This window comes from Homo sapiens, chromosome 19, assembly GCF_000001405.40.
Source record: "Homo sapiens chromosome 19, GRCh38.p14 Primary Assembly".
In the NCBI taxonomy this organism is placed as follows: Eukaryota; Metazoa; Chordata; class Mammalia; order Primates; family Hominidae; genus Homo; species Homo sapiens.
Window position 1 is genome coordinate 54,831,077 of NC_000019.10, and position 17,712 is coordinate 54,848,788.

At 48.1% G+C, this 17,712-nt stretch overlaps 1 protein-coding gene across 2 annotated transcripts; it reads left to right on the forward strand.

Moving 5' to 3' along the window:
• Positions 1,631-17,499, forward strand: KIR2DS4 (killer cell immunoglobulin like receptor, two Ig domains and short cytoplasmic tail 4 (gene/pseudogene)). 2 transcript variants are annotated; one of them, NM_001281971.2, is made up of 8 exons: positions 1,631-1,722; positions 4,003-4,038; positions 6,500-6,799; positions 8,352-8,623; positions 11,792-11,842; positions 16,108-16,212; positions 16,675-16,727; positions 16,826-17,499. In NM_001281971.2, the coding sequence occupies exons 1-6, from the start codon at positions 1,689-1,691 to the stop codon at positions 16,132-16,134; spliced, it is 720 nt and encodes a 239-aa protein (NP_001268900.1). In that variant the 5' UTR covers positions 1,631-1,688; the 3' UTR covers positions 16,135-16,212; positions 16,675-16,727; positions 16,826-17,499. The 2 variants fall into 2 exon arrangements, with proteins under 2 accessions (NP_001268900.1, NP_001268901.1); NM_001281972.2 differs by lacking the exon at positions 11,792-11,842.

The following is a 17,712-nucleotide window of genomic DNA, read 5'->3' on the forward strand; positions in this document are numbered from 1 at the left end:
CATCTCCACGGGGACACATATCAACACATCATATTTCATACTATAAATATACAGTCGCTCCTCCATATCTGTGGGGTTTACAGGTGTTTATTGAACCAAGTGTAAATCAAAAATATTCAGAGAAAATGTCCACAAAGTTTCAAAATGCAAAACTATGTTGAATGGACACAAATGAGGCAGTGTGTAGGCTGTATCAGGAATTATAAGTAATCAAGAGATGATTTCATGTATACAGGAGGATGTGCATGGGTTATATCCAAATGCTGTGTCATTTTATGTAAGAGGCTTGAGCATCTGCAGATTTTGGTACCTGAGTGGAGATCCTGAAACCAATCACCCACGAATAGTAAAGGATGACCGTATATGACTTTTATTTCTCAATTTTAAATATAAATCATAAAAAATGTACAATAACTAGATAAAAAGTAAGAAGTGTTTTTATAGTGTGAGAATAAGTTTAGATTTATTTTTTCCTACGTGTAACCCTTTGGTTTAATATTATTTATTAAGAAGACATTCTATGCCACCTTAAACCACACGGCAGCCTTTGTCAACTCTAAAGGGACTGTGTGTACACGGATGTATTTTAGACACTGTTTCTGCTAAGGGGCTCTCTGTGTCCACACTCTTGAGGATGCTGCACTTCATGTAGCCTTATAAAACCCTTTAAATTTAGTAGCCAGAGCCCTCTAATTTGTTATTATAGGCTACTTGCTATTTTTTTTTCTTGAGGCGGAGTCTTGCTCTGTCGCCCAGGCGGGACTGTAGTGGAGCAATCTCAGCTCACTGCAACTTCCGCCTCCCAGGTTCAGGCGATTCTCGTGCCTCAGTCTCTTGAGTAGCTGGCGTTTCAGGTGCCTGCCACCAGGCATGGCTAATTTTTGAATTTTTAGCAGAGACGCGGTTTCACTGTGTTGGCCAGGCTGCTCTCAATCTCCTCATCTCAGTTGATCCGCCCACCTCGGCTTCCCGACCTGCTGGGGGAAACTTGATTTTCTATAGCATTATGTTACTGGATATTTCTGTAAAATTTAAAATGAGGGAGGCAGAGAGACAGAGAGAGAGCAAACTCCAGAGTTGGGACTCTGGAATCTTGAGTCATGAGACAAATTATAGATAAAACTACAAAAATCCAGAATTTACATGTGTGGTTTTTGCTGATAAAGTACAATTCTAAGATTGTAAATAATTGCATAATCCTTCCCTGGGAATTTAAATCATTTGAACTGGTTCTGCTGTAATACTAGAAATACAAGCATGAACAATTCTAATGGTTTATTAGTCACAATGACTCTGAAAACACTAATAATACCTATTAGATATTTTGCATATTACACAGGAAGAAGAGTTCGAATCTCAGATAAAAACAATAAAAATTCATGAAAAGTCTTTCATGTTAGCACAGATTTTAGGCATCTCATGTTTGGGAGGTTGGATCTAAGACATGTTTTGAGTTGGTCATAGTGAAGGACGCGAGGTGTCAATTCTAGTGAGAGCAATTTCCAGGAAGCCATGTTCTGCTCTTGAGCGAGCACCCACTGGGCCTCATGCAAGGTAGAAAAAGCCTGCGTACGTCACCCTCCCATGATGTGGTCAACATGTAAACTGCATGGGCAGGGCGCCAAATAACATCCTGTGCGCTGCTGAGCTGAGCTGGGGCGCGGCCGCCTGTCTGCACCGGCAGCACCATGTCGCTCATGGTCATCATCATGGCGTGTGTTGGTGAGTCCTGGAAGGGAATAGAGGGAGGGAGCGTGGGGATGGAGATCTGGGCCCAGAGGTGGAGATATGGGCCTGGAGGTGGAGTTATGGGCCTGGAGTGGAGATCTGGGCCTAGAGATGGAGTGATGAGCCTAGAAGTGGAGATCTGCGCCTGGAGTGGAGATCTGGGCCTGGAGTGAAGATCTGGGCCTGGAGTGGAGATATGGGCCTGGAGTGGGGATAGGAACCTGGAGTGGAGAGAGGAACCTGGAGGAGAGATAGGAACCTGGAGGGGAGGTAGGAGCCTAGGGTGGAGATATGGGACTGGAGTGGAGATATGGGACTGGAGTGGAGATATGGGCCTGGAGTGGAGTTATGGGCCTGGAGTGAAGTTATGGGCCTGGAGGTGGAGATACGGGCCTGGAGTGGAGATATGAGCCTGGAGTGGAGATATGGTCCTGGAGTGGAGATATGGGCCTGGAGTGGAGATATGGGTCTGCAGTGGAGTTATGGGCCTGGAGTGAAGTTATGGGCCTGGAGGTGGAGATATGGGCCTGGAGTGGAGATATGGGACTAGAGTGGAGATAGGGGCCTGGAGGTGGAGATCTGGGCCTGGAGTGGAGATCTGGGCCTGGAGTGGAGATCTGGGCCTGGAGTGGAGATATGGGCCTGGAGTGGAGATATGGGTCTGCAGTGGAGATATGGGCCTGGAGGTGGAGATATGGGCCTGGAGTGGAGTTATGGGCCTGGAGTGAAGTTATGGGCCTGGAGGTGGAGATATGGGCCTGGAGTGGAGATATGGGACTAGAGTGGAGATAGGGGCCTGGAGGTGGAGATCTGGGCCTGGAGTGGAGATATGGCCCTGGAGTGGAGATATGGGCCTGGAGTGGAGATATGAGCCTGGAGTGGAGATATGGCCCTGGAGTGGAGATATGGGCCTGGAGGTGGAGATATGGGCCTGGAGTGGAGTTATGGGCCTGGAGTGAAGTTATGGGCCTGGAGGTGGAGATATGGGCCTGGAGTGGAGATATGGGACTAGAGTGGAGATACGGGCCTGGAGGTGGAGATCTGGGCCTGGAGTGGAGATATGGCCCTGGAGTGGAGATATGGGCCTGGAGTGGAGATATGAGCCTGGAGTGGAGATATGGCCCTGGAGTGGAGATATGGGCCTGGAGTGGAGATATGAGCCTGGAGTGGAGATATGGCCCTGGAGTGGAGATATGGGCCTGGAGTGGAGATATGGGCCTGGAGTGGACATATGGGTCTGGAGTGGAGATACGGGCCTGGAGGTGGAGATATGGGCCTGGAGTGGAGATATGGGCCTGGAGGTGGTGATATGGGCCTGGAGTGTAGACATGGGCCGAGTGGAGATATGGGTCTGGAGTGGAGATATGGGCCTGGAGTGGAGATATGGGACTGGAGTGGAGATATAGGCATGGGGTGGAGACATGGGCCGGGAGTGGAGATATGGGACTGGAGTGGAGATACGGGCGTGGGGTGGAGATATGTGCCTGGAGGTGGAGATATGGGCGTGGGTTGGAGATATGGGCCTGGAGTGGAGATATGGGCGTGGGGTGGAGATATGGATCTGGAGTGGAGACATGGGCATGGGGTGGAGATATGGGCCTGGTGTGTAGATATGGGCCTGGAGTGGAGATATGGCCCTGGAGTGGAGATATGGGCCTGGAGTGGAGATCTGGGCCTACGGTGGAGATATGGGCCTAGGATGGGGATATGGGCCTGGAATGGAGATATGGGCCTGGGTGTGGAGATATGGGACTGGAGTGGAGATATGGGCCTGATGTGGAGATATGGGCTTGGAGTGGAGATATGATCCTGGAGTGTAGTTATGGGCCTGGAGGTGGAGATCTGGGCCTGGGGTGGAGATATGGGCCTGGAGTGGAGATATGGGACTGGAGAGGAGATATGGGACTGGAGTGGAGATATGGGCCTGGAGTGGAGATATGGGCCTGGATTGGAGATATGGGCCGAGGGTGGAGATCTGAGCCTGGATTGGAGATGTGGGCCCGGATTGGCTATATGGGTCTAGGGTGGAAATATCGGCCTGGAGTGGAGATATGGGCCTGGAGTGGAGATATGGGCTTGGGGTGGGGATATGGGCCTGGAGGCTGGGTCTCTGCACAGCCGAGAGCACTGTTCTTGGGTGCAGGTAGGCTCTGATGGTGAGTTTCCCTTCGGCCCAGGAAGGGGCTGGCTATCAAGACTCACAGCCCAGTGGGGGCAGCAAGGAAGGCCTTGTTTGCCTGCAAATGGATCTTCCATCATGATCTTTCTTTCCAGGGTTCTTCTTGCTGCAGGGGGCCTGGCCACAGGAGGGTAAGTCCTTCTCCAAACCTTAGGGTGTCATCTCCCCACATAAGAGGATTTTCCTGAAACGGGAGGGAAGTCCTGTCAGGGAGTCTCTCATAAACTAGGAAGAGGGGACCCTGGGGTGCTCGGCCCACAGTTCCGACCTTGCCTCCCTGGCCTCTCAACCCCTTGGCAGAGTCAAGTTGTGTGGGGACCAGGGTTGGACTAGGGTGTTCAAAGCTGGGTTGTGTGGTGGGGAAGTGGTAGGAACAGCAGATCCTCTGAGGACAAAGGTGTTACTCACACACTTCAGCGTTTCCATGACGGTAGGGGCTGCAGTGTGGCTGCTGTCATTCTACCAGAAGAGGTGGGAAACCACAGCCATGGCCCTGACATTCCAAATCCTCTGATGGGGGCTAAGTTTTTTATTTTCATTCAGGCAACTGCTGATATTCCATTCTCAAAGGACATGCCCTCCACTTCATGTCTACCCTGTGTTGTTTTATGTCAGTAATCTTACAGTATTAAAATCTAGTAGGAGTCTCTTACTCAGCACTTGCTCAAAGTTCTCAGCTGACACTTTTGTTGTACGGAGACACCTTGTCTTTGTGGGATGGGTCCTTCCTTTAGCCCTAGGCACCAAGGTGTGATAGCAGCCATAGAAATGTGGAAAGTGGGGAGAATCTTCTGAGCACAGGGAGGGAGGCACAGCTCCACATCCTCCTCTCTAAGGCGGCGCCTCCTTCACCCCAAGGTGGTCAGGACAAGCCCTTGCTTTCTACCTGGCCCAGCCTTGTGGTGCCTCCAGAACATGTGACTCTTCAGTGTCACTCTAATCTTGGGTTTAACAACTTCAGTCTGTACAAGGATGATGGGGTGCCTGTCCCTGAGCTGTACAACAGAATATTCTGGAAAAGCCTTTTCATGGGCCCTGTGACCACGTCACATGCAGGGACCTATACATGCCGGGGTTCACACACACACTCCCCCAGTGGGTGGTCGGCACCCAGCAACCCCCTGGTGATCGTGGTCACAGGTCAGAGGGCTCCTGTCTGGGATTCTCCTTGTCCCACCTCCTGAATCCCAGAGCTTCTGGTAGGCATGTCCTTGAGGGTCCCATCACGCAGGCCCTAACTGTATTTGGGGTAAAGGGGGATTGAATACAGGGAAATGGGTGCTGTGGTGGGAAGAATAAGTGTCCCCAGTGATGACTGCATTCTAATCCCTGGAGTCTGTGACTATTTATGTTATAGGGGAAGGGACTGAAGGGGAAGATGGAGCTCAGGTTGTTGATGAGTTGACCTTGAGATGGGGAGACAGCCTGGACTGTCCCGGTGGGCTCAGTATAATCACAAGTGTCCACATGAAAGGAGGAGGAAGAGGAGAGTGGGGATTAGAGCAGCGTAGTGGGAGACTCCATCAGCTTTGAAGGTGGATGAAGGCCATAAGCCATGAATGCAGGTGGCCTATAGAGGCTGGGAAAGTCAAGTAACTGATTCTCCTGAGTCTCCAGAGGGAACACAGCCCTGCAGATGCCTTGATTTTAGCCCTCGAAAAACAGGGTCCGCTTTCTGTCTCCAGAATCGGAGGGGGTCAGTGTGCTCTCTCCTGCTGCCATGCTTCTGATAATTTTCTACAGCAGCAACAGGAAACCAACACTGGAACCCAGGTCAAGGACAAGTTAAGAAAAGACACAAGGATAGCCAGGCATGGTGGCAGGTGCATGTAATCCTAGCGACTCGGGAGGCTGAGAGCAGGAGAATCGCTTGAACCCAGGAGACAGAGGTTGCAGTGAGCGTAGACCACACCACTTCACTCCAGCCTGGGTGAAGGAGTGAGACTCTGTCTCCAAAATTAATTAATTAATTAAAGAAACCAAACAAAGAGAAGGTTGGCTACACCGAGATCAGCAAGGGTGGGATGATGATGCCACCACCAGGCTCCATCCACATAGGGAGGGGTTGATACTCCTCAAATCAGCACGAGGAGCCAGCCTATGGAAACTGGCACCATGGAGAAGGCACAGACATGGCAAGAGTGGCTCCCAGTCCCCACCAGGAACAGGGTGTGTGGACACTGGTGCCTGCCTTACTGATCAGTTCATACCTCCTGCCAAGGATTCCAATTCGTCCAAAAGAGATTGAACCAAGCTGCTAAGAGCCGGGACGTGCAGCCTATCCTGCTTCCTCTTCCACTCCCACATAGACAGTAAGAAAGACATTAGTGTGAAATAGATACAACAGCCCAAGAGATGAGGCTGAGCCCAGTGGGAAGGGAATCACAGCTACTAGAGACAGAGGGACAGAGAAGAGGGAGGGAGACAGATGGAAGGACCTGCACCAGGAGTTATGGGCACAGAAAAGAACATGAAGACACAGAGAGGAAGCAGAGAGACAGACACCAGCGAAGGGAAGGCTCACTCATTCCAGGTGCCATGGATGGGATGATAAAGAGAGACACCTTCTAAACTCACAACCTCTCTTCCTAGGAGTCCACAGAAAACCTTCCTTCCTGGCCCTCCCAGGTCACCTGGTGAAATCAGAAGAGACAGTCATCCTGCAATGTTGGTCGGATGTCATGTTTGAGCACTTCCTTCTGCACAGAGAGGGGAAGTTTAACAACACTTTGCACCTCATTGGAGAGCACCATGATGGGGTTTCCAAGGCCAACTTCTCCATTGGTCCCATGATGCCTGTCCTTGCAGGAACCTACAGATGCTACGGTTCTGTTCCTCACTCCCCCTATCAGTTGTCAGCTCCCAGTGACCCTCTGGACATGGTGATCATAGGTGAGAGTGTCCAGACATTCTTCTCATTGTCATTGGGATGCAGAGTGAATGATCCAGGACTTGGAGACCCAGGTGGTTGTAAGGAAGATGAGCTTGGTATTCTTATGGAGAGAGACTGACTTGGTGAGGTCTGTGCCAACAGAGACAGAGAAACAAGAGACACAAGTACAGACCAGGTGTCATAACAGAGGACAAACACAGGGGCCATACAGGGAGTTAGAAAAGACAGAAAGAGTTAAAGGAGACAGACAGACATGTCCCAGACAGAGGTGTCCTTCCATGCTGACTTTGCTCAGAGACCTGGCACAGGTTAGAAGTTTCATTTCTGTTTTACCTCCACAAAGTGTTCTCTACCAGGAGAACCCAAGGACACCCATATTTCTGACCTGAGTTGGGCCCTGTGGCCTCAGGCCTTGTGGCACCTACAGATGCCATGCTTATTCTGACACCTCTGACTTCCATGCAATGGAGAATAATCGTCCCAAAATATCATGGCCCCAGAACACCAACCCCTGTATGCTGTGTGAACTTGTGGTCTCCAGACTGGATTCTGAGGCTCACATTCCAAATAACCCCACATATCACATATGAGAGGATCACTGAGAAGCACAGAGAGAAATCAGGGACACCAAAAAGCAAAGACATAAACACACAGAGAAAGAGCCAGAGGAAGGAGATTGAGAGACTCACAGACACATAAAGAGAGAGAAGAGGGCAGAGAAGTGGAGAGAATGATGGAAGAGAGCAGAGAAAACCACTAAAATTAGAGTCCTGAGGGCGAGGCACAAGGGCATAGAAAGATGGAGATGTGGGGATGAATTGCAGAGATTCCAAAGAGAACTAGAGAGACCGAGAGGCAGAGCAAGACAGATGATAGATGGATAGATACAGATAGATGATGGATAGATATAGATAGATGATATATAGGTAGATGATAGATAATAGGTTATAGATACATAGATGATGATTGATTGATTCATTAATAGATGATACATAGAGATGATGATGATGAAGATAGATGGATAGATAATACATAGAGATAGAGAGGAAGACAAAGAGAGAAATAATAGAGAGAGAGAGATGATACATATATATAGATAATAGATGATTGACGGATAGACAATTGATAGATAAATAGATGATATATAGATATAGATGACAGGTAGAGAATTTGTAGATAGGCACCGAATAGATAAATAGATGGATTGATAGATAATAGATAGAAATATGCAGAAAGTTATGAACGGGACACAAACTGAGAAACTCAGAGTTAAAAAAAGTAACATCAAGTCAACCAATCCAAGGAGAGCCAGAGAGAATAAAACAATCCAAAAACGGAAAACATAACTAGAGGTAGGGAAGTGAGGTCAGAGACCTACAGAGACAGAGAAGGTGGAAGGAGGAAATAGACATGAAGAGAGATAGGGTGGAGGGTGAGACAGAGAAAGAGAGCATTAGGCCATAGAGCAGGGGAGTGAGTTCTCAGGTCAGGTGTGAGGGGAGCTGTGACAAGGAAGATCCCCCCTGAGGAAACTGCCCCTTCTCCTTCCAGGTCTATATGAGAAACCTTCTCTCTCAGCCCAGCCGGGCCCCACGGTTCAGGCAGGAGAGAATGTGACCTTGTCCTGCAGCTCCATCTATCCAGGGAAGGGGAGGCCCATGAACGTAGGCTCCCTGCAGTGCGCAGCATCAACGGAACATTCCAGGCCGACTTTCCTCTGGGCCCTGCCACCCACGGAGGGACCTACAGATGCTTCGGCTCTTTCCGTGACGCTCCCTACGAGTGGTCAAACTCGAGTGATCCACTGCTTGTTTCCGTCACAGGTGAGGAAACCCCATATCTGTCCCATGTCCTATGATCCTAGAGCCTTAGCTGAGGAGCTTCCTGCTGATGATGGAGAGAAGCATGGACAGATGCAGAGAGAAGACGCAGCATGCCTGTGAGGGAGGGATCAGGGCGCAGGATGGCACACACAGCACCTCCAAACCCTCCTGCATGGCCTGCATGGAGGCCTCCGATTAGGGCTCCAGAAACCCAGGCAGATGTAGAAAGCGGTCAGGAGAGACCCAGAGAAGGGGAGACTGGGCTCAGTTTGGGGAGATCAGAGGTTCCCTCAGCCCCTCAACCTTACCCATTTCCCAGAAGCCCTTCCTGGCCTCTCACCCACACAGAGATGTCATCACCAGCAACCCCTACATCCTTTTCTTTTTGTTTGAAAAAATATTCATTGAGGTTAAATATACCTATATAGCTTACCACTTTTAACATTTTTTTTTTTTTGAGGTGGAGTCTAGCTCTGTCTCCTATGCTGGAATGCAGTGGCACAATCTCAGCTCACTGTAACCTCCGCCTCCTGGGTTCAAGCGATTCTCCTGCCTCAGCCACCTGAGTAGCTGGTACTACAGGCGCCCATCACCACGCCGGGCTACTTTTTGTATTTTTAGTAGAGAGGGGGTTTCACCATGTTGGTCGAGCTGCTCTGGAACTCCTGACCACGTGATCCACCCGCCTCAGGCTCCCAAAGTGCTGGGATTACAGGCATGAGCCACCGCGCCCGGCCACGTTTACCAATTTTAAGTGTAAGGTCTAGTGGTCATAAATACATACATATAAATTTTTTGTTTGTTTGTTTTATCCTCCACCCTTTTCTTCCTGGCCTCTGGTAGCCACCATTCTACTCTCTATCTTCATGAGATCCACCTTTTAGCTCCTGTATATGGGTGAGAAATGAGAATATTTGTAATGACTTCCAGTTCCATCCATGTGGCTGCAAATATCAGGATGTTATTCTTTCTATGGATGAGTAGTCTCCGCTGTGCGTATGTACTACATTCTCTCTATCCATTCATCCACTGATGGGCAGGTAGGTTGACTCCACATCTTGGCTACTGTGAAGAGTGCTGCACCAATCATACGAGTGCAGATATCACTTCGATACATTGATTTACTTTCCTTTGGATATAAACCCAGTAGTGAAATTGCTGGATACTATGAAAGTTCTCTTTTTAGTTTTTCGTTTGTTGTTTTGTTTTTGTTTTTGAGACAGTTTCCCTCTGTGCCCAGGCTGGAGTACAAGTGATGTGATCTTGGCTCATTGCAACCTCCGCCTCCTGGGTTCAAATGATTTTCCTGCCTCAGCCTCCCTAGTAGCTGGGATTACAGGTGCACGCCACCATGCCGGGATACTTTTTGGTTTTTTTTAGTGTACATGGGGTTTCCCCAGGTTGGCTAGGCTGCTCTCAAACTCATGACCTCAACTGAGGTGCCCGCCTCGGTCTCCCAAAGTGCCGGGATTACAGGCATGATCCACTTCATCCAACCTCTTTTTAGTTCTTTAAAGGACTTCCATACTTTTCTCCGTAATGGCTGTACTAATTTACACTCCTACCAACAGGGTACCAGGGTTCTCCTTTCTCTACCACCTTGCCAGCATTTGTTTTGCCTGTCTTGCAGCTAAAAGCCATTTTATTTTATTTCATTTTATTTTGAGATGGAGTTTCGCTCTTGTCACCCAGGCTGGAGTGCAGTGGTGCGATCTCGGCTCACCGCAACCTCCACCTCCCAGGTTCAAGCGATTCTCCTGCCTCAGCCTCCCGAGTAGCTGGAATTACAGGCACACGCCACCACGCCCGACTAATTTTTGTATTTTTAGTAGAGACAGCGTTTCTCCATGTGGGTCAGACTGGTCTCAAACTCCCGACCTTATGAGATTCGCCCACCTCGGGCTCTCAGAGTTCTAGGATGACAGACGTGAGCCACCTCGCCCGGCCTAAAAGCCATTTTAATGGGGTGAGATGAAAACTCACTTTGATTTTAATTCGCGTTTCTCTGATGATGAGTGATACTGAGCACTTTTTCGTATGTGGGGAAATTTCATGTCTTTTGCTCCTTTTTCAATTAAATCATTTGTTTTATTGAGTTGTTTGAGCTTCTTATACTTCTAGTTATTAATCCCGTCTCAGATGCATAGTTTGCACATATTTGCTCCCAATCTGTGGGTTGTCTCTTCACTTTGTTGGTTTATTTTTAGCGGTGCAGAAGTTGCTTAGTTTGAGGTAATCCCAATGGTCTATTTTTGCTTCGATTACTTGTGTTTTGAAGGTTTAAAACAAAATGTCTTCCTTCAGACAAATGTACTGGAGCATTTCCCCAATATTTTCTTCTACGTGTTTCACAGGTTCAGGCCTTAGACTCACATCTTTAATCCACTTTCATTTGATTTTTGTGTATGGTGACAGGTAGAGGTGCAGTTTCATTCCTCTGCATGTAGATGTCCAGGTTTCCCTGCACTGTTTATTGAAAAAACTGTCCTTTCCTGATTGTGAGTTCTTGGCACCTTTGTCAAAGTCCATTGGATGGGCTGGGCATGGTGGCTAACACCAGCAACTTCAGCACTTTGGGAGGCCAAGGCTGGTGGATCACCTGAGGACAGGAGTACAAGATTACTCTGGCCGACGTGATGAAACCTCGTCTCCACTAAAAATATAAAAATTAGCTGAGCATGGTGGTCAGCACCTGTAATACTACTACTCAGGAGTTTGAGGCAAGAGAATTGATTGAACCCAGGAGGCTGAGGTTGCAGTGAACCGAGATTGCACCTCTGCACTCCAGCCTGGGTGACAGAGCGAGACTCCATCTCAAAAGAAAAAATAAAAAAAATTGGATGTAAATGCATGGATTATATCTGTGTTCTTCATTCTGCTCCGTTGTTCTATGTGCCTTTCTTCATGCCAACATCATGCTGTTTTGCTTACTACAGCTCTGTAACATATTTTGAGATCAGGTAGTGTGATGCTCCTGTTTTCTCTTTATACCTTGAAGTCTCAAGACAGTGGGCGTCACATACAAAAATTATGGAAGAAAGGATCCCTGGACTCCCAGGGCCCAATGTTAGATAACAGAGTGTTGGCCATGAACCAAACTCAAAGATTTCCACTGAGTAGAGGACAGACACCCTCATTTCCTCACCTCTCTCCTGTCTCATGTTCTAGGAAACCCTTCAAATAGTTGGCCTTCACCCACTGAACCAAGCTCCAAAACCGGTGAGTACAGGACCCTCTTATATCCGCTTTTGGAACCCTGGGGAGGTGGAAACCTTGGATTCAGGCGTTGACTCAGCATCTCACAGCTCTGACATTGTACGCCTGTCTTCTACCATCTCCGAACTCCAGATACTCCAACAGCGAAAGGGATCTGGGCCCAACACAGGGCTCAGTGAAATCTCTTCATCTCTCATTTTATGGAGCTGAGACCTCCTACAAGCTAGAAGAATGATTGCCAATCTGACATCCTTCTCAGGAAAAACGCAATGTTTGTTCTGCTTGCATTCCTAACTGGAGGATAAATTCCTGGGGGCTTGAGAGAGGGAAGGGAAGCGAACATCTGATGAGGGCGAGGTGTTTTAGAGAAGTTCCACTTGCCAAGGAATGAGCTCCTGTTGGTCATGAAACAACCCTGGCTGACTCAGCAGAGCAAGAGCCTTGCCGTAACAGAGAACAGAGCTCATGCACGCACACTTTGACTCACTGACTTATTCAGCCACGGCCCCATGCTCAGGTTGTGCAGTGTGGAAGCTTTTCCTATTGTTGCCATAACAAATTTCCACAAGATTCGTGGGTGAAAACAAAACGGTTATTTAATTATCTTACAGTGCTCTAGCTCAAAGCATGAAGTGCATCTCACTGGGCTAAAATCAAGATGACAGCAAGCCTGCCTTCCCTCTGAGGATTCCAGGCAAGAATCTGCTTCTCACTTGTCCCATCTTATAAAGGCTCCCAGTTCCTTGGCTGCTGGTCCCTTTCCTCCTTCCTCAAAACCCACAAAGACTGGTCACATCTCACATGGCATCACTCAGACCCTTCTTCCTTACCACACCTCTTTCTCTGAATGCTGCTCTCCCTTCTTCCTCATCTTTTGAAAACTTGGGGATTCTATTGGGTTCACCAAGATGAAAATCCGTCATAATCTCCCGGAAATCATTCAGGATACCCTTGTTTTAAGTTCAGCTGATTAGCAACCATAATTCCATCTGCAATCTTCATTCCTCCTTTCCATGTAAAATAACATATTCACAAGCTATGGAGGCTAGGACAGGGACATTTTGGGGTGGGACAGCATTCTCCTGCCTTCCACAAATGGTGAACAAGATGCATTTGGCCTCTGCTCTTGGGACACTGATATTGCAGATGGTTAAATGGGAGGACAGAAAATGAATGCACAAGTGGACCAATAAATGAATGATCCATTGGGAAGCATCTGTGCATGAAATCTATTTGTTTGTTCGTTCGTTTGTTTATTGAGACAGAGTCTCCCTCTGTCTTCCAGGCTACAGTGCAGTGTCACGATCTTGGCTCACTGCAACCTGCGTCTCCTGGATCCAAGTGATTCTCCTGCCTCACCCTCTCGAGTAGCTGGGATTACAGGCAACTGCCACCATGCCCGGCTAATTCTTTTTGTATATTTTTTGTAGAGAGGATGTTTCACCATGTTGGCCAAGCTTGTCTGAAACTCCCAACCTCAAGTGATCCGACCATCTCAGCAACCCAAAGTACTGGGATTACAGGCGTGAGCCACTTTGCCCAGCCAGAATTCAAAATAAATAATAGATAATGCTGAGTGTATAATTTTGGGTGACAGAGAAGGTCTCACTAATCAGATATTTGTGACATTAATGAAAAACACGGATTGAACCCCTGAAAGATTGGCGGAAGGATTTTCCACACACAGCTGTCAGCTGTGAAGGCACAAAGGTGAAAACAATCTGATGTTGAAGGAAGAGGCTCTGCCTGAAATGCTGGGAATGAGGTGGGGAGAATGACAAGATGACTGTAGAGAGATGGAGAGCACTCTGGGTACACAGGAAACTAAGGAGGAACAAGGAGTGTGTGTTTGACACTCACAGCCATTGGATTCACCTCGGGGTAACCAGGAATCCCTACATGATTAATAGTGACTGACAAGAAAATAAGGGAGGCCCAGGTGCGTAACTGGAATCTAGGAGACTGTGGAAAAGGCAATTGCCGCCCCACTGGTGAAATGTGGTGCTGATTTAGACACTAAATGAATGAAGTAGATGGATATAAGATATGCTTGTGAGGTAGAATCATTGGCTGGAAAGGCTTGCTGGGTTTGATTTTCCTACTTGTTTAATCCTCGCTTAATTAATTTCTTTCTGAGATTTATTCATCCTACACATAAATCAATACCTGGCAAAGGAGTGACAGATATATGAGGGGTGGTGGAAATGAAGGGACCTATTATAGCATAATATACAAGTCTGTGAACGGTGGCTCATGCTTGTAACCCAGCCCTGCAGGAGGCCAAGGCGGGTGGATTCCATGAAGTCAGGAGTTCCAGACCAGCCTGGCCAACATGGTGAAACCCTATCTGTACTAAAAATACAAAAATTAGCCGAGCATGGTGGTGCATCCCTGTAATCCCAGCTCCTACTCTGGAGGATGAAGCAGGAGAATGACTTCAACCCAGGAGGTGGAGGTTGCAGTGAGTGGAGATTGCATCACTGCACTCCAGCCTGGGTGACACAAGGAGACTCCGTCTCAAAAAATAAAAATAAGAAATGCATAAATATAATAAAACACACACGAATGACAAAGGCACCTGAATTCCAATCATCATTTTTCTATTTCTCTATAATTACTTCTTTGATCCTTTATCTTATCCATTAGGCAATGAGCCTAAAACCTCTTCCCTATTTGGCTTTCTGTGAGCATGAGATCACATAGAAAATGTGAAAGCCCGCTGAATCCTCCAGCACGGATCCTGGAATAGAGAAAGTGCTCTGGTCATCGCAAAAAAAAACTTGCCCACTCACCCAAATCCCCCACCTCACCCCTACTTCCAATCACCTGTGGAGATTCAGATAGACCATGGGGAGGAAACATTAATACTCCTTGGAGTGAGTCCAGATCTTGGAATCAGAGATCAGCGACAGCACTAGCTCCTGTTCCCCTTTCCTACTAATTCACAGGAGGACAGGTGGTATTGAAGCAATAGATGGTCGAGGGGGTGGTCCTTCCCCCAGCCTCTCGGGTAGAACAGCAGCCTAACATGTGTCTCCCGAGATCACAAAGAGTAGCACATTTCACACGGGCTTCAACACTATTTCCTGGCTGTTTGACATAAGAGAATCTTGCTTCGCTATTTTTAATCGTGATTTCACCTTTGTTTCCTTTCCTTGGTGAATGCAATTTGTTTGACTCAAGAATGCTGTGGATGTAGAAATCCTAAAGCACATTCGCTGTGTATCAATCCCAGTGCAGTCTTCCCAGAGAAGACTCTAAACAAATCCTGGACTGCACCTGGGCCTATGCCAATTCCTATCACTCACCGTCACTCCAGGGAGACAGAACACACAGAGAATACGTTACATAGGCAGGTTCATTACTAACAGATAAGCAGCGAGTGACAACAGAAGCCTGCATTTCAATGTGAGCCAGTCCCTCAAGGCTCAGAAAAGCTGCTCGGGACATATGGAGTCACCCCATTTGCAGTGTAGCTGCGGGAAGCCAGAAAGCAGCCCAGCCTGGGTTTTGTACCCTGGAGCCACAGGAAGCACTCAGCTAAAGCACTGCATGACGTCCTCCTCCAGGAAGAACAGGAAGACAGCCCAGGCTGTTCTGAGACATTCCTCCTGATCTCAGGATGTTGCTATCTTAGTCCATTTTTGTTGCTCTAAAGGAACACTTGAGCCTGGGTAACTTCTAAAGAAAAGAGATTGGTTTGCCTCACAGTTCTGCAGGCTGTACTGGAAGCATGGCACCAGAATCTATTTCTCGTGACGGCCTCAGGCTGCTCCCACTCTGGCAGAAGGGAAGGAGGGTCTGTCTGTGCAGAGACCGCAGAGATCACACGGCAAGAGAGAGAGTAAGGGGGAGAGGGAGCGATGGAGCTTCCAAGCTCTTTTTAACAACCAGCTCTCCAGGAACTAACAGAGGGGGAACTTGCTAACCCCGTCTCCTTGGGACAGCATTGATCTGTTCATGATGGATCCACCTCCATGACCCAAACACCTCTGAAGAGGCCCAACCTCCCACAATGGGGGTGAAATTTCAATGTGAGGTTTGAAAGGGTCAAACATCTCAACTAAAGTAGTTGTATCCTCAGCACGTTCTATGGTTACTATGAGAGCTATAATTGAGAAAGCAGGGGAAAGCTAGGTCTCCCGCCATTTGGGTGCTTGTCCTAAAGAGACGTTGTATGTGGTTACCTGCCAATCAAGAAATGCGAGACAATTCATAAAGAGGAACTGCTATGATTAGCTTCTTATTGGTGTCTCCTCTTCTTCCAGGTAACCCCAGACACCTACATGTTCTGATTGGGACCTCAGTGGTCAAAATCCCTTTCACCATCCTCCTCTTCTTTCTCCTTCATCGCTGGTGCTCCGACAAAAAAAGTAAGTCTCACGAAGCAGAGGCCAGAGAGCTCAGGGCCATGTGGGGAAGCAGGATGGGAGCACGCGGATGTGTGTTCCTCACCAGCAGGATGGTCCCTGGCCCAAGACAGGAGCCACAGAGGCAGGACTTTCTAGAGAGAGCACCAGATTCCCTTCCCCTGCCTTCAGCTCACAGACCATTGCCTGATTCTGAACTGTATCCTCACGTCCCCTGCAGCCACTCACATCCAGGAGAAGGTTCCATGACAGGCAGAAAGTGGGAGATAGAATCAATGGGATGGGACCTCAGAGCTATTCATGGGATGGGTCCTTGAACTCAGAGAGATAGAATGTCTGAGTCTGCTGTTGGCAACTGAGGGACCTCAGGCACCTATGGCCTCCCCCTGTTTGTTGGTATCTGCTTATGAAATGAGGACCCAGAAGTGCCCTCCGAGCTCTTTTGTTGACTTCCGTCTTCTACAGATGCTGCTGTAATGGACCAAGAGCCTGCAGGGAACAGAACAGTGAACAGCGAGGTAGGTGCTCCTCCGCCCAGCCTCGTGGCTAGTCTTATTCCCAAAGAGTCCTGAAAAATGTGAGCACCCTCCCTCACTCAGCATTTCCCTCTCTCCAGGATTCTGATGAACAAGACCATCAGGAGGTGTCATACGCATAATTGGATCACTGTGTTTTCACACAGAGAAAAATCACTCGCCCTTCTGAGAGGCCCAAGACACCCCCAACAGATACCAGCATGTACATAGAACTTCCAAATGCTGAGCCCAGATCCAAAGTTGTCTTCTGTCCACGAGCACCACAGTCAGGCCTTGAGGGGATCTTCTAGGGAGACAACAGCCCTGTCTCAAAACCGGGTTGCCAGCTCCCATGTACCAGCAGCTGGAATCTGAAGGCATCAGTCTTCATCTTAGGGCATCGCTCTTCCTCACACCACGAATCTGAACATGCCTCTCTCTTGCTTACAAATGTCTAAGGTCCCCACTGCCTGCTGGAGAGAAAACACACTCCTTTGCTTAGCCCACAATTCTCCATTTCACTTGACCCCTGCCCACCTCTCCAACCTAACTGGCTTACTTCCTAGTCTACCTGAGGCTGCAATCACACTGAGGAACTCACAATTCCAAACATACAAGAGGCTGCCTCTTAACACAGCACTTAGACACGTGCTGTTCCACCTCCCTTCAGACTATCTTTCAGCCTTCTGCCAGCAGTAAAACTTATAAATTTTTTAAATAATTTCAATGTAGTTTTCCCGCCTTCAAATAAACATGTCTGCCCTCATGGTTTCGGTAACGAGACTCTTTTCTTGCCTAAGGCTTCCGGTGTTATCATTACCATGTCCACATAACCCCATCTGTTCTCCATTGGGTTCTCAGCCCTGGACTCTGAGCTTCTGGAAGCAGAATGGAGCCTGATTTGTCTCTGAGACTCCAATTTCCATCCAAAGATACAGCACATAGGAGGCTCCAAGGATCGTGAATCACATGAACAAGTGATATTCTT

What these genes read in the sequence shown, in the direction of transcription:
- KIR2DS4 (NM_001281971.2), top strand. Translation starts at nt 1,689, where the DNA reads ATGTCGCTCATGGTCATCATCATGGCGTGTGTTG. An exon ending in GGGGGCCTGGCCACAGGAGG is followed by an intron (nt 4,039 to 6,499) that starts GTAAGTCCTTCT and finishes CTCTCTTCCTAG; the next exon opens with GAGTCCACAGAAAACCTTCC. An exon ending in ACTGCTTGTTTCCGTCACAG is followed by an intron (nt 8,624 to 11,791) that starts GTGAGGAAACCC and finishes CTCATGTTCTAG; the next exon opens with GAAACCCTTCAAATAGTTGG.